Source organism: Homo sapiens, chromosome 6 (assembly GCF_000001405.40).
Source record: "Homo sapiens chromosome 6, GRCh38.p14 Primary Assembly".
In the NCBI taxonomy this organism is placed as follows: Eukaryota; Metazoa; Chordata; class Mammalia; order Primates; family Hominidae; genus Homo; species Homo sapiens.
This window is the reverse complement of record NC_000006.12, coordinates 28,310,570-28,324,483: the sequence shown is the minus strand read 5'-3', so window position 1 is coordinate 28,324,483 and position 13,914 is coordinate 28,310,570. Positions and strand designations below refer to the sequence as shown.

At 42.3% G+C, this 13,914-nt stretch overlaps 1 pseudogene, besides 2 other annotated features; it reads left to right on the top strand.

The window, feature by feature from the left end:
* On the top strand, window positions 4,614-4,824 carry SMIM15P2 (SMIM15 pseudogene 2; annotated as a pseudogene).
* Window positions 12,511-13,010: an enhancer, noted in NCBI's record as "H3K4me1 hESC enhancer chr6:28279251-28279750 (GRCh37/hg19 assembly coordinates)". NCBI's record gives its function as "activates a minimal SCP1, AML or CMV promoter by ChIP-STARR-seq in primed H9 embryonic stem cells {active_cell/tissue: H9 hESC(primed)}" and the evidence as "EXISTENCE:reporter gene assay evidence [ECO:0000049][PMID:30033119]".
* Window positions 13,011-13,512: an enhancer, noted in NCBI's record as "H3K4me1 hESC enhancer chr6:28278749-28279250 (GRCh37/hg19 assembly coordinates)". NCBI's record gives its function as "activates a minimal SCP1, AML or CMV promoter by ChIP-STARR-seq in primed H9 embryonic stem cells {active_cell/tissue: H9 hESC(primed)}" and the evidence as "EXISTENCE:reporter gene assay evidence [ECO:0000049][PMID:30033119]".

The following is a 13,914-nucleotide window of genomic DNA, read 5'->3' as shown; positions in this document are numbered from 1 at the left end:
CCCAGGAATCTCCATTTTAAATGAGCAATGCACTCCTAGGTGCCTCAGATGCTGCTGGTTCATGGAGTGCACTTTGAGTATCAAGGTCCCAGACTACCCTGAGGATTAGTATGGTCCTTTTAATATGCTACAGGCACCAAGCACATAATAGCTTCCTTTCCATCCTTCCACTTGCAACCTCTACATCAGTAGGTAGTCCCTAAACCTGTGCTCCCCTCACTGACCCACTGCCTGTCCCACCCTAAGAGGACTGAGATGCCTGTGAAGTGCAATGGGCAGGTGGGTTGAGGTGAGTTTGTAGAGCAAGGCAGTGTCCTTTGCTCTGGAATAGGCAAATAGAGCTAAATGTTTACCCAGGCAGTCTAAACAGGACCCATAAATGTTTACTTTAGGAAAAAGCTACTTCTACAGAGCTTCTGCTCCTCTTGCATGAGCTCACAGGGTGAAGGGAAAGGGGCTGTTTGTTGCATGTTTACCAGCACCTTGCAGACCTGCCAGTCCACACCCCCAGTCCTCTCTTGGGCTCTCCAAACTGCTTGGGCCACAGGAACAAGGTCCCAGCTGAGGTTTCCTTATCTATGGTGCTATGGCATGCCACACTTACCTTCAACACTGAAGCCTTGCGTGGTCCTTCTGTGACTCCAACCCCAGTGCTCAGATAGTCCCTTTCTCTCTCACCTATTCAGAAAAGCAAAGTAAAGCTGACAGAGGAAAAAGCCACAAAATAGAAGACATAAGGGTGAAGGAGGAACATTAAGGGCATGAGATACATCCCAAATGAGTAAGAGAGGAGGAGGGGAGAGATAGGGACGTAAAAAAGGGCCCGAATGGGCATGCCTGTAGTAAAGAGAAAATTGAAGGGAGAATTTGGGAATGTTTCTGGTTTTTTTTTTTTTTTTCCTAATTCTGTTTCATTGATCTGGTCCAAAGTGTTGTAGTAGTTGATGCCACTACTTCCTGCATTTGGCCTCATTGACAGTAACAAGAAGGATTTTCAGTGCCCCTGTTATTAGAGGAACATCAAGAGACCTAGAGAAGAAGGAAGGCTCAGACTGTGGATGGGGGCACTCTGTCAATCAGCAAACATCCACGGGGCACTTGTTAGGCCAGTGGGTACCATTGTAGGAACTTGGGATGCATCAGTAGATCAGACAAAGTTTCCTGCCCTCATAAAGTTTACATTCTAGCAGCAGAGAAAAATAATAGACAATAATCATAATAACTATGTAGTATATTAGAAGGTGATGAAGTGCTTTTGAAACAGAAGAAAGTGGAGCAGCATGAGGAGTAAGATTTCCTTATATAGGGCGGGGGATGGGGGTCAGGGATGCTTCATTGAGGAGGAGACATTTGAGCTAAGATGCGGAAGCAAAGAGGGAGACAGCTTGATGCTATCTAGAAGGAGGATGTTCCAGGAAGAGAGATCAGCCAGTGCAAAGGCTAAGTCATGGAATAAAAATTGTTTTCCCACTGAGGTTGTCAAGTGATCCTCACAATCATCCTAGAAGAGGAAGGCACAGGTGTTTGCCATACGTGTTTATTGTGTAAACTGAGCACAGTGAAATAAAAGTGATTGCTCAATGTCACATGCCTGTGAGGCGGCAAAGGTCTGCATTCAAGACTGACTGATTCCCATCTAGTGTTCTTTCCTATTAGGTATTGAGTAATTATTTTGAATGAGTAGCTGCACCCTGAAAGCACTGGAGGGAGGGGATGCGGGAGATAACCTGTTGGTATACAAGAGGAAGAAATGAGTAGAATTCTGGTAGGTCAGCTGCATTAATGCAGATGAGGTACAAGAGGCTGGGGAGTGATTGGGAAAGTGCAGCATCCTGGGAAGGAAGGGCTGGGAAAGTGAAGACATATTTAAGTTTGCTGCTTGGTAGCATAGCGTAGCTGTAGTTTGTTACTACCTAGCTGTGCGACTTCTGCACAAGTTACTTCACCTCTCTGTGCTCTTGTGGAAAGACATGAAGGTTAGGTGGGTGAGGAGAGAGCTCTCAGGAGGTAAAGCAATACAGGTAAAGCCTGTAAATCCATCTGTGGGGCAAGTGGTGTACAGGGGTGGGGTGGGATCCAGAGTGGTTAAGAACTGGAAAAGAAGAACTAAACAGACGGTCCCAGGATGTTTGAGGAGTAAGGAAAAGAGTCTCCTACTTGCCTCTTTGCCCTAGATGGGCCCAAAGTGAGGAAGTTAATGACATGAAATATTCTCCAAACCACCTAAGGAGGCAGCAGAAGGTGGGTCAGTGGTGCAGGGCTTGCCCAGGCTTTTCCAAAGCCTTTTCAAGGTCCCCAAAGGCTTTGGAAAAGTCTCTGTTAAAGATCGGCTCAGCTCAGGGTGAGTCCCAGGGTGAGTCCCAGGGTGAGTGGGGTGATGCAGGGTGGGGATGTGCACTGGGCTCCAGGCTAAAGCCCAGGAGTGACTGGGGGTGCATGGTGCAAGGGGTGCCAAGAACTGTGGTTGGATAAATGCCAGCATTTTAAGAATAAATATAATAATGATAATAGACACTTCTGAAACACCATATGCCTGGCACTGTTCTAGTTGCTTGACATGTATTAATTCATTTAATCCCCATATATAATCTAAATGTGTAGTCAACTCCATTTTAAAGAGGGGGAAACTGAGGCACAAGGAGGTTAAGTCACTCACCCAAGGTCACACAGCTTGTAGGCAGCAGAGGCACCCTGCTGTATATGTAATGTTTCTGTAACAAACTTTTAATACATTACAAAAAACTTTTCCTTATCATCTATGTGGTTACCAAGTGGTACAGTTCCTATGGAAAAGGCAGGATAAATACTTGTTTCCCTTTATTTACCTGTTTTCAAAATACATGGCTCCCTAGCATTCTCCAATGGTGACCATTTTCTTTTTTTTAAGAATAATTACAAACTCATGGATATAAACATACTTGAAGTGTTTCAACTCATTGCTGTCATTATCTTTACTGGTCCTCAAATTTTCCCATCTTCAAGTGGGAAGGTCTTCAACTTGGCACCTGAGTACTTCTGACTCAAGACCCTTGCTTTATGGTATGACAAGATGTTTCAGGCTCATGCCATACATTTCTTGCCTCTGATCTGGATTCAGTCATGTCTCCCAGGAATCCTGATTTCTTTTTGGGGATATGGAATTTCAAGATGACACATTCGATGCTAGCAAAGGCTCATTGTTTGGCTGGTTATTGTTTCCAAGCCTTTTCAATAGAAAGACCTAGGAGACATATATCTGTGTATGCCTGTTTGTTTTTCTTTCTAATTCAGAACTACAGGGTTTTTACTTCTCTTTACATTTGTATCTCCCCTTGTATTATTATCATGTATTGCTGTATAATGAATTAACTAAAAACTTAGTAGTATAAAACAACGTACATTATCCTTTCCATGGGTCAGGAATCCAGGTATGGCTCAGCAGGGTCCTATGCTTCAGAGTCTCTCAAGACTGAAATCAAGGTGTTGGTCAGAGTTGGCGTCTCATCTGAAGGCTTAACTGGGGAGGGATCAGCTCTAAGTTCACATGACTGTTGTCAGAAATCAACAAACCCTTTGAGGGTTTTTGGACTGAGGGCCTCAGTTACATGCTGACTGTTAGCAACAGGCAATCCTCAGTTCCTTGTCATATAGGCTTCTTTAACATGACAACTTGCTTCGTCAAAACCCCCAAGGGAGAGCATCTGCTAGCAAGACAGAAGTCACCGTTTTCTTTGTAACCTAATCACAGAAGTAACATCCTCTCAACATTGCTGTATTCTATTAATTAGAAGCAAGTTATTTAAAAGGAGTGTGTTGGGGGTAATAAAGGGGAGGCTGGTGGCTGTCGCTGCCGCAGTTTTCTCCCGGTGCCCAGCAGAAATGGTGGCCGTGCAAGGTGTGATGGGGCCGACCCAGTATCCCCTGGGACCCTCCTTTCTGTGCAATAAGGGCCCTGCACTTGCCAAGGCCGAGGGGCAGGGGTGAACGTAGCCCCTGTGGCTCTGTAGCCTGATAGGAATTTAAACCATCTCTCAGATGTCTATGGTAGAACTAAAAAAGACAGACTGCCAAGGGTCATCTGAAATTGTGATTGGGTCACTGATAATAACAGGACAAAGTTAGAGATCACTACTCAAGCATAAGCCCCGGGTTCGTTCTCTTCTCTTTTTTCTTTTCTTTTCCTTTTATTTTCTTTCTTTCCTTTCTTTCTTTCTCTTCTTTCTTCTCTCTTTTTTTCTTTCTCTCTTTCTCCCTCCCCTCCCCTCTCCTCCCCTTCCCTTCCCTTCTTCGCTCCCTCCCTTCTTTTCTTCTTCTTTTTTTTTTTTTTGAGGGAGTCTTGCTCTGTTGCCCAGGCCAGAGTGCGGTGCCACAATCTCTGCTCGCTGTAACCTCCACCTCGCAGGTTCAAGTGATTCTCCTGCCTCAGCCTCCCTAGTAGCTGGGATTACAGGCATGCACCACCATGCTCAGCTAATTTTTGTATTTTTAGTAGAGATGGTGTTTCGCCATGTTGGCCAGGCTGGTCTTGAACTCCTGACCTCAGGTGACCTGCCCACCTTGGCCTCCCAAAGTACTGGGATTACAGGTGTCAGCCACTGCGCCCAGCCCCCAGTTTTCATAAGACTGCTATGAAGATGTTTGATATAAAGGCTTGTGGAATGGGCTGCAAAGGACCCATATGACTTCCTTACAACTGTTATTTTGGCCCTTACTCCACTGTTCCTAGCAAGTGTTGTATTGTGTTGGAAATTGGCCAAGATGATTGAGGCCAGGGGTAAGGAGCAAAAGAAGAAACAAAAACGCCTAGAAAACATTGCAAAAGCTAAACAACTATGAAAGGATTGAAGGACTGAACAGGCTCTGCAACCAGAGGAAATAATCTGGAAAATTATGCAGCTTTGGAAGGACCTACTAAGGTTTCTTCTTTGGATTTCTTGACAGTATTCTTTAGTAAATGAAATTTGACCAAATGGAAGAATCATGTTAGTTCCGACCTCAATACTGTAGTAACTTTTAGGCTTGGGTGTAGGCATTTATAGGTTTCTATTGACAGTTATTGTAAATTAGCATTTATTATAGTACAAATTCTTTATAACTGACCTAGTCATTTGCTGTTTAGCAGTTTACGTACTGAAATGAAAACATCCTGTGGGGAAAAATGACTTTATATTATGAACCCTACTCAAATGAACTCTATTTAAAATGGCGTCCCGTTTTGGACAAAGGAAATCAAGAATGTAAAAGTCAGAACTGTCCTGTCTGAGATGAAAAATGTGCTTTGGCTTAAAAGAGATATAATGTATTAATTACATCTTTTATTACTTCTTAGAATCATTTCTGGCTTTCTCAAAATAATGTTAATCAACGAGTACTTCTATTTGCTGCATTTTTCTTACTTTAGCCTTTGAGACAACTGGTAATTATCAAGACATTTTACATTATTATTATTATTTTTTGAGATGGAGTCTCACTCTGTCGCCAGGCTGGAGTGCAGTGGTGGGATCTCGGCTTACTGCAACCTTCGCCTCCCAGGTTCAAGCTATTCTCCTGCCTCAGCCTCTTGAGTAGCTGTGACTACAGGTGCACACCACCACACCCAGCTAATTTTTGTATTTTTAGTAGAGACAGGGTTTCACCATGTTGGCCAGGATGGTCTTCATCTCTTGACCTTGTGATCCGCCCGCCTCAGCCTCCCAAAGTGCTGGGATTATCGGCGTGAGCCACCATGCCCTGCCGCATTTTTTAAAATGTAATTTTATAAAAAGATTCCTCTTACCTTGACTATGTAAAATACCACCTATTGGATAGAACACTTTTTGTGCTTTCAAACACTGCCATTTTCTTAGAGATGGCTTGTTAAGAGGAGTAACACTATAGTTTAGAGCTTGCAGTAAAAATGCCAAACACTGTAGTACCTTGGAACCAGTTTATTCTTGTGCTAAGCAGAACTGTAAAATAGTTAAAATGTCCTATCAAGTAATTCACTGATAACATAGACACCACTTTTGTTTTTTATTCCATTTTTTGTTTTAACTCATGTGGTAGTGATATTTAATACTTTCTGATCAAACAGGTTCAAAGTGTATCTTTAAATTTCAAATTTCTTTTAAAGCTTTTTTTTTTTTTTGAGATGGAGTTTCACTCTATTGGTAGGCTGGAGTGCAGTGGTGTGATCTCAGCTCACTGTAACCTCTGCCTCCCGGATTCAAGCAATTCTCCTGCCTCAGCCTCCCGAGTAGCTGGGACTACAGGTGCGTGCCACCACGCCCGGCTAATTTTTGTTTTTTCAGTAGAGACGGAGTTTCACCATGTTGGCCAGGATGGTCTCGATCTCTTGACCTCGTGATCCACCCGCCTTGGCCTCCCAAAGTGCTGGGATTACAGGGGTGAGCCACAGCATCCGGCCAAAGAACTCTTCATGAGTAACAGTGAAGTCATACTTCATAAGTGGTAAAGAAAAGTACAACATTTGGAAACATTTTGTTGGGCATAGTAGTAATTGGGTGAAAAAGGATAAATGATCTCAAAATAAGAATGTGCTGTAATTGGAAGGAGCTAAAGGATGTTTCTTTCAGTTAAGAAGTATAACTGGGATGTTTTACTATTAAACATGGCTTTTATAAATGCATGGTCCAGTAATTTTATTCACTGTTAGTATCTAATTCACTGTCAGCTTATTAGTGTTTTCTGTACCCCGATAATGAATTTTAAATTACAAAAATTGTCCAGCAGCTACAGTTTAAAAATGAAACTAGATATTGTAATAAACTTGATGATTTTTTATAAAGAGGTCCTGGGTCTTATTTTTTTTGGAGAGACTAACATTTTAAGTTACATTATGTTATGCAGGTTAGAATTTCAATTACAACTAAGCATACTTGTAAACTTTTAGGACTATGTTCCTCAAATTTGAGAACCTAAGAACCACTGAGAATGTTTATGGACCAGTTTGAATAACACTTAATGCTATTCTTTTAGATTATCAGTCTCCACTTGGTGCCAGTGTGAGCAACACATTGTAACTGAAGGCACTGAAATAGTTCAGTATTTAGTCAAGATATATCTAAAATATGTTTGGTTTTCTGGAATCAAGCTGTTCATGGAAAGAATTTATGTACATATGTTTTACTTATGGTCATATTTTAGAGCAAAAGTATTGAAGCAAAGGATATAGTCATAATTCTCAGTTATCTACGAAAGTTATGGTTTCATCAGTTCTGTTGTAACAACGTAAAGGTATTTAACTAAAAGTGTTTTTCTATAATTTCTGTTAAAGTCGTAACACATGCCTATTTTGTATTTCTTTGACATATGCTGTTATTTTTTCACTTTTTCCTGTCATTTATAGAGCCTTTCTATATATGTGAGATCAAGATTTTACATTTGTGTGTGTGTGTGTGTGTGTGTGTGTAAGGGGCTGGGAAATATAGAGAATATTGTGAGGTTTGGGATTCTTCAGAAAAATCATCTCTCACTGCAACAGAGTACTATTGTTGAAAGAATCCCATTTACTGTTATCTAGAATACTTCTTTTAAGAACTTGTTTACCTATTATGTTGCTTCTGAAGTTCTGAGAACTAAGTACAATCAATTACCTTTCTATAGCTGGTTTGAGGGGAAAAAGAAAGCTATTCCCAGGTTGCCTGTAACAAACATTTAATCAAAAACAAGCAAATAAATAAAAGTTTGTGTGTCAGAACTTGAAAAAAAAAGGAGGGGATTATGCAAGGCCTTGAATACTGGGAAGTGGGAGTACTGGGGGACATTTTAGAGGCTGTCACCCATACTTAGCTTCCATGTCAAGTATCCTAGTTCTCAAAGACAGTGGAGAATGACAGAATGAAAACATGATATCATATGTGCATTTAAAATTTTAATACCACTAAAGTGCCACCAAATTGGCTGTATATATATATATTGCCACCAATTGCCAATATATATTCCCACTAGCACAGTATGGTTGTTATTCTGTATCCTTGCCCATTATCAAACTTTTAAACATTTACCAAGCTGTTAAATGTGTAATGGTATCTCACTTCTATTTTTAATCCTTGAATACTAATGACACTGCATCTTTTTATACCATTTATTGGCCATTTGCATTTCCTCCTTTGTGAATTCCTTATTCATATCCTTTGTCTGGTTTTCTGGTGAACATTTTAACTTTTTCTTATCAGAGGGTAGAAATTCTTTATATTTTAGATATTAATCCCTTGTATGTGTGTGTGTGTATTTATATATAGAATATATGTAGATATACATATATATTTATTATATAATTTCATTTTTTATAAAAAGTAGGACTAACTCTGAAGATAAAATGCTGAATGGGAATCTTCCTGAATTCCAAAATTCTAGGCAGAGTGAACCTGCTACAAATTTTCAAGGCTCAACCTATCTGGAGAACAAGAGAAGTCCTAGTTGTGGCCATGCCAGTTCCCTGAGGTACAGAAAACAGCTGTGCAAGTCAAGGTGGAAAAAAACAGTCGTGTATGCTTCTTTAACATGACAGCTTGCCTGGCCTATTTTCTGTCCTTTCTTATCATAAACTTCCTACTGCCTGCTCCTGGTTTGCACTAGTCATTAGACATGGAATCAGGAATACAGACTTCCAGGAAAGAGTCCTTCATATCATGAAATCTGCAGATGACACTTCAGGCACCTCTGCTATCAGGATTCCCCTGGGCCTTGAGCGACTCTGAGACATCTCTGGGAGACTTGCCAACAGAGACTGCAGCCAGAGCACCCACACCAGGGAGCAGATTCTGAAGCTTCTGTTGCTGGAGCAGTTCCTGACCATCCTGCCTAAGAAGCCCCAGGCCTCAGTGAGAGAGCATCATCCAGAAAGCGGAAAAGAGGCTGTGACCTGCTTGGCCATGTAGAAGAGAAAGACTGATGGATCAAGACAGCAGGTAAGAAGGTAGAAGGCTTGGAGGTATAAAGCCAGAATGAGGGGCACTGACAGGTTGGCAGTGAGGAGATTATTTCTGAGCAACTTCAGTCTTTACTGAGCCAAGCTAAAGTTATTAGTTATTTGCATTTTTCTTTTCAACTTTCAAACATCACCCTTGCAGCCCTTGGTCTAATGAAACACTAATTTTTCTATGTCCTGCAATCTCTTCTCTAAGGATTTAGCCCTAATTCTCGTAATAAACCTACTGATTCAGGGTCCAGCCCATCTCCATAAAAAGGACAAAATCTTGAGGGAAAAATTATCTTTGAGGGCATAGAAGGCATACTTAGTCATCCATCTGCAGCCCATAAAGACCCAGGTAAATGAGAACCTCCAAAACCATGTACCTTTCCAAAGACTGGTGAGAAGCGGAGTTTCTTCTGAGATGGAAGTATTGCCAGCTAAAGACATAGAAGTAATGTTCGGCCCGTTTTTTATTCATTTCCCCTTTCAATAAAACTCTACTCTATCCATCTTCTTATGCCCAGTTGATGCATACAAAAAATGTATTAGCTAAATGAATGAAGATATGTGGGCAGAACCAACATCTACCCATTCCTTTTGGAAACCAAGTGTGTTTGGCCTCTTGTTTGTCCTATCATTTGAGTGGCCTGTGTTTAGTCTGTGTCTCAGCATAGACAAGAGAGAACTGACTATAGCCTTTACCATAAGAGTGTTGACGTGACCTTTTGAGAATGTGTGATCAGTGCTTAAGACACCTTCACATTAGCATGTAAATGTGTACCCACGATTACATAGCCATACACACAATTCTAGACTCAACCATGGCTCTAGGACCATGTGAAGAACCTTGTGTACTGCCCCTCACAGTTGGATGGCTGCCAGGTTAATTAACTCTGGCCTTTCTTGGCTTAGTCTCTCTCTCTGTGCTACAGGTACCTCCCTAAAGGAAAATAGCAAGTATAGAAAATATAAGCATCAAAGAAAGAAAAGAACATTAAAAGACTTCCTGGTGGCTGTTTCTTCCTATGAACTGGGGAGAAAATAACTAGGACCTACTCTGTAGAATCTCCTTCGTTAATTACAACTTCACCTCTCACATCTGCCTAATTTTGTTATACTCCTTTTCCTGGCTATAATATTTCACTTACTCCCAGTCCTCTGGCCCTAGAATAAAAATGTGAGCCACCTTTAGCTCTCATGCCTGCATTGACAAATCCCAGGTTTCACCTGGATATCCTTACCTCCCCACCAAGCTTGTTTTAGTTTCAGACTTGCCGATCTGCACCTCAAACCCCAAATTCTCATAAATGATAGCTTTTCTGCCTGCTTTTCTTTTGATGCTTTTCCTTGACCCCAGGTGAGACTATATAAACTATATTATTTCCCTTTCAACCAACCAGCTCCCCTCTCCAACTCTTGGGCTTCCTTAAGTCCAGGATGTGAAGAAGAAGAATTATCAGCAAACTATATCCATATTTTTAAAAATTCCTTTTTGTCCATGCCATAGGTTCAACATATATTTGGTTGAGGCAATATATGGTTTTCTGGTTTCAGTTCATTGATGATTTGTCCTAGCACCTGTGCTGAAGGGAATTACTTAATGTGCCTCAGTTAGTCACGGATATCTAGATAACATTCAGCAGTCAACATGACAGTTGGGAATAGTGATTCCTAAATCTTAGAATTTAAATTTTATATATACATGTTATCGTTCAGGGATTAAAAAGTCAATTTTGTTAACTCTAACAAAACCTTAAGCAAAGAATGAAAGCAAGGGGTCCAGAGAGTCAGGATCCAGAGTGGCTCCTCATGATTCAGTGTTCGGCTTCAACAGAATATTTTCTGTCCTTTCTTTTTTCTTTTCTTTCTTTCTTTTCTTTTTTTTTTTTTTTTTTTTTTTTTTGAGACAGATTCTCGCTCTGTCCCCTTCCTTCAGTTTTTGGCAGTGATCCCTTGCACACCTTTACCAACCCTCAAGCTTACTACACTTTTGTTTCACTTGATTCATCCTGTTCTCCCCCAAGATGGGGACCGGTTCACAAATTTCTTTTATATTTTCAGATCAGAATCTAAGGTTGAAGATATGGAGACTAAGAACAACAACAACAACAACAACAAGTGAAATAGCCTTAAAGCAAGAAACACCTGAATAAGTGAAACCCCCTAAAGCAATCCTATGCAGACCTCGAATCAAAGTTTTTCAGTCCTAAATGAGACAGAAGCAGTGAATGGGCAAACCCACAAGGGAAAAAAGGTTCACGTGACCTCCAGATCCACCCGAGGATGCATTTCCTTGCAAGGGAAAGACCATAAGAGTGCGCCAAGGGGAAGTCGGCGTGGGAGCAGCACTCCAACCAGACCCAGCACCTGCGTGGGCCTAGGGACTTCGGCCACTCCCCCAGCAAGCACTTAGCACCACCGCTGTGCGCATGCCTCCGGCAGTTAACCGTCTTCTTCCTCAGCGTCTATCTGGTACTCCACGCAGGCCCTACGCAAGCAAACGCTGCCGCAAGCGCTTCCTAAGGAGCTTAACCCGCTTGCAGCACCCGCAGGTACACACACAGGTGAGAGGCCTGATCACTGCAGCGGCTGCCACGAAACTTTCAGCCAGAGTTCCTGCCACATCCCGCACCAGCGGGTCCACATGGGCGAGAGGCCCTATCAGTGTGTATGTGGCAATGCGTTTGGGCAGATCTCAACACTTCTTGGGCATAAGAACCCTCTATTTAAAAAAAAAAAAAAAAAAAAAAAGCCCAGAAAAGATGCTAATTGGTAGTGTGATGGAAAGAAAACCTTCGAGTAGAACTTGAATAAGTTTGGATTAATCAATATATGAACATTAAGAGAAGAAATGAAGAGCTTAATTCTTATACCAGAACTGCATCTATTACAGCATAAACCAATTATATCTTTGACCAGAACCTATACTTTACTAATAGCGGTACTGTCACCTATTTCTGAGAGTGTATCAAGCTGGAGCAGGAGCATGGAAAATAAAACAGAGCTGGAGCTTGAATTGACACTGACATCATCCCTACCTTAGAAGACAAATATATGTATGTGTATACACACACACACACACACACACACACAGAGCAGAGCCACAGATATAGTCAATCTGAATACTTTGGTAAATTTGTCCTGGAGAGAAAACTTATCAGACAGTTGAATTTGGTGCTATCTTCCTTCTTCATTCTGACTTCCAACATCAGAAACTCCATGTGCGCAAGAAGTCCCACTTTCATTTTGCTCTGAATGACAGGGGAGTGAAACCTCAGTAAAGAATGAATTTTACGGGACAAGACAGGAAAATGGTGAATAGGAAGCAGGACTAAATTGCAGCTCCCACTCAGATGGACAGAGCAGTGTGTGGAGACTAACATCGTGAACTTTTGCTCCAAGAACTACCACAAGAACATACCAGGAAAGCCAAGAGAACCCATAGAACCTTTGAAGGAGTGGATTGCTCCTGCAGGCCCCAGGAGACAGCTGAAAAACTGTGGGTGCCCAAAGTATGAAAGGGGGATCATCTGCCCCTGAACACCCACCGTCACTAGGGAACCTGAAGGTCCAAATCACAAGAGAAGGATTTGACTTTACTTGGAGCTGAAACAAAATTAGAGAGCTAAGTGAAACACAGGGGTAGAAGCAGCAGCGGGAAGAGCCCTATGGGCGCTTGGTCAGGGAAGGGAAAAAGTCCAGGGACAAAGTCCAGGGAAGCCATTTCTGACTTTGTCTCAAAGAGGTCTTTGGGGAAGGTTGCTAGAGGAACTGAGAAAAGACCACAGAGAGAAGGAAACGTCCAGCTGAACTTTGTAAGAATTTTGACCAAATTCAAAATTTCTTGTACAGAACTCCCGGGAGGGGGTGAATCGGGAGTGCAGACACAACACAGAAACCACATCAGGTGGGGTGGCACAAAACCTGAAAGCACTGCTTGCTTTCTCAGCTAGGAGGTTGGTAGGCTGGGGCAAGTTCTCAGCCCTGCTCACCTGCTGCCTGGAAATAAACTCAGTGCAGCTGGGGGAGTACAGTGGGCGTAAGACCAGTCTTTTGGGCTGTGTGGGAGCTGGGTGAGGCCTGGCCTATAACTGCCAGCTTTCCCCAACTTCCCTAGCCACTCGCGTGACTCAGCAGAGGCAGCTATAATCCCCCTGGGAACATGTAACTCCATTGGCCTAGGAACCATAATCCCATTCCTCAGCGGCCACAGCAAGCCCTGCCCAAGGGGAGTCTGAGTTCAGACATGCCTGACCCTGCCCCATCCTGATGGTCTTTACCCACCATGCTAGCTGAAGACAAACGACATAATCTCTTGGGAGACCTAGGGCCCCACCCACTGTCTGATCCTCCGTACACTACCACAGCTGATGCTGTCTTGAAAGTACCACCTCCTGGCAGGAGGCCAACCAACACAAAACTAGTGCAATAAACAAAACTACAACTAAGGATCCTCACAAGAGCCCATTTCACTCCCCTGCCACCTCCACAACAGCAGGTGCTTGTATCCATGGCTGAGAGACCTGAAGACTTTCACATTACAGGACTCTATGCAGACTCCCCCAGTACCAGCCCGAGCTGCATGGCTAGATCCAGAAGAGAAGACAATCACTGCAGTTCAGCTCTCAGGAAGCCACATCCATAGGGGAAGAGGGAGAGCACAACATCAAGTAGTCCCCGTGGGACAAAAGAATCTGAACAGCATCCCTAAGCCCCAGATCTTCACTATGACATAGTCTACCCAAATGATAAAGAACCAGGAAAACAATTCTGATAATACAAAAGGTTCTTTAATGTCCCCCAAAAGATGATACCAGCTCACCAGCAATGTATCCAAACCAAGAAGAAATCCCTGAATTGCCAGAGAAAGAATTCAGGTTGATTATTAAGCTAATCAAGGAGGCACCAGAGAAAGGCAAAGTCCAACTTAATGAAATTAAAAAAAAATGAAACAAGCTACGAAAGGAAAAATCTTCAGTGAAATAGATAGCCTAAATAAAAATCACAACTTCTGGAAA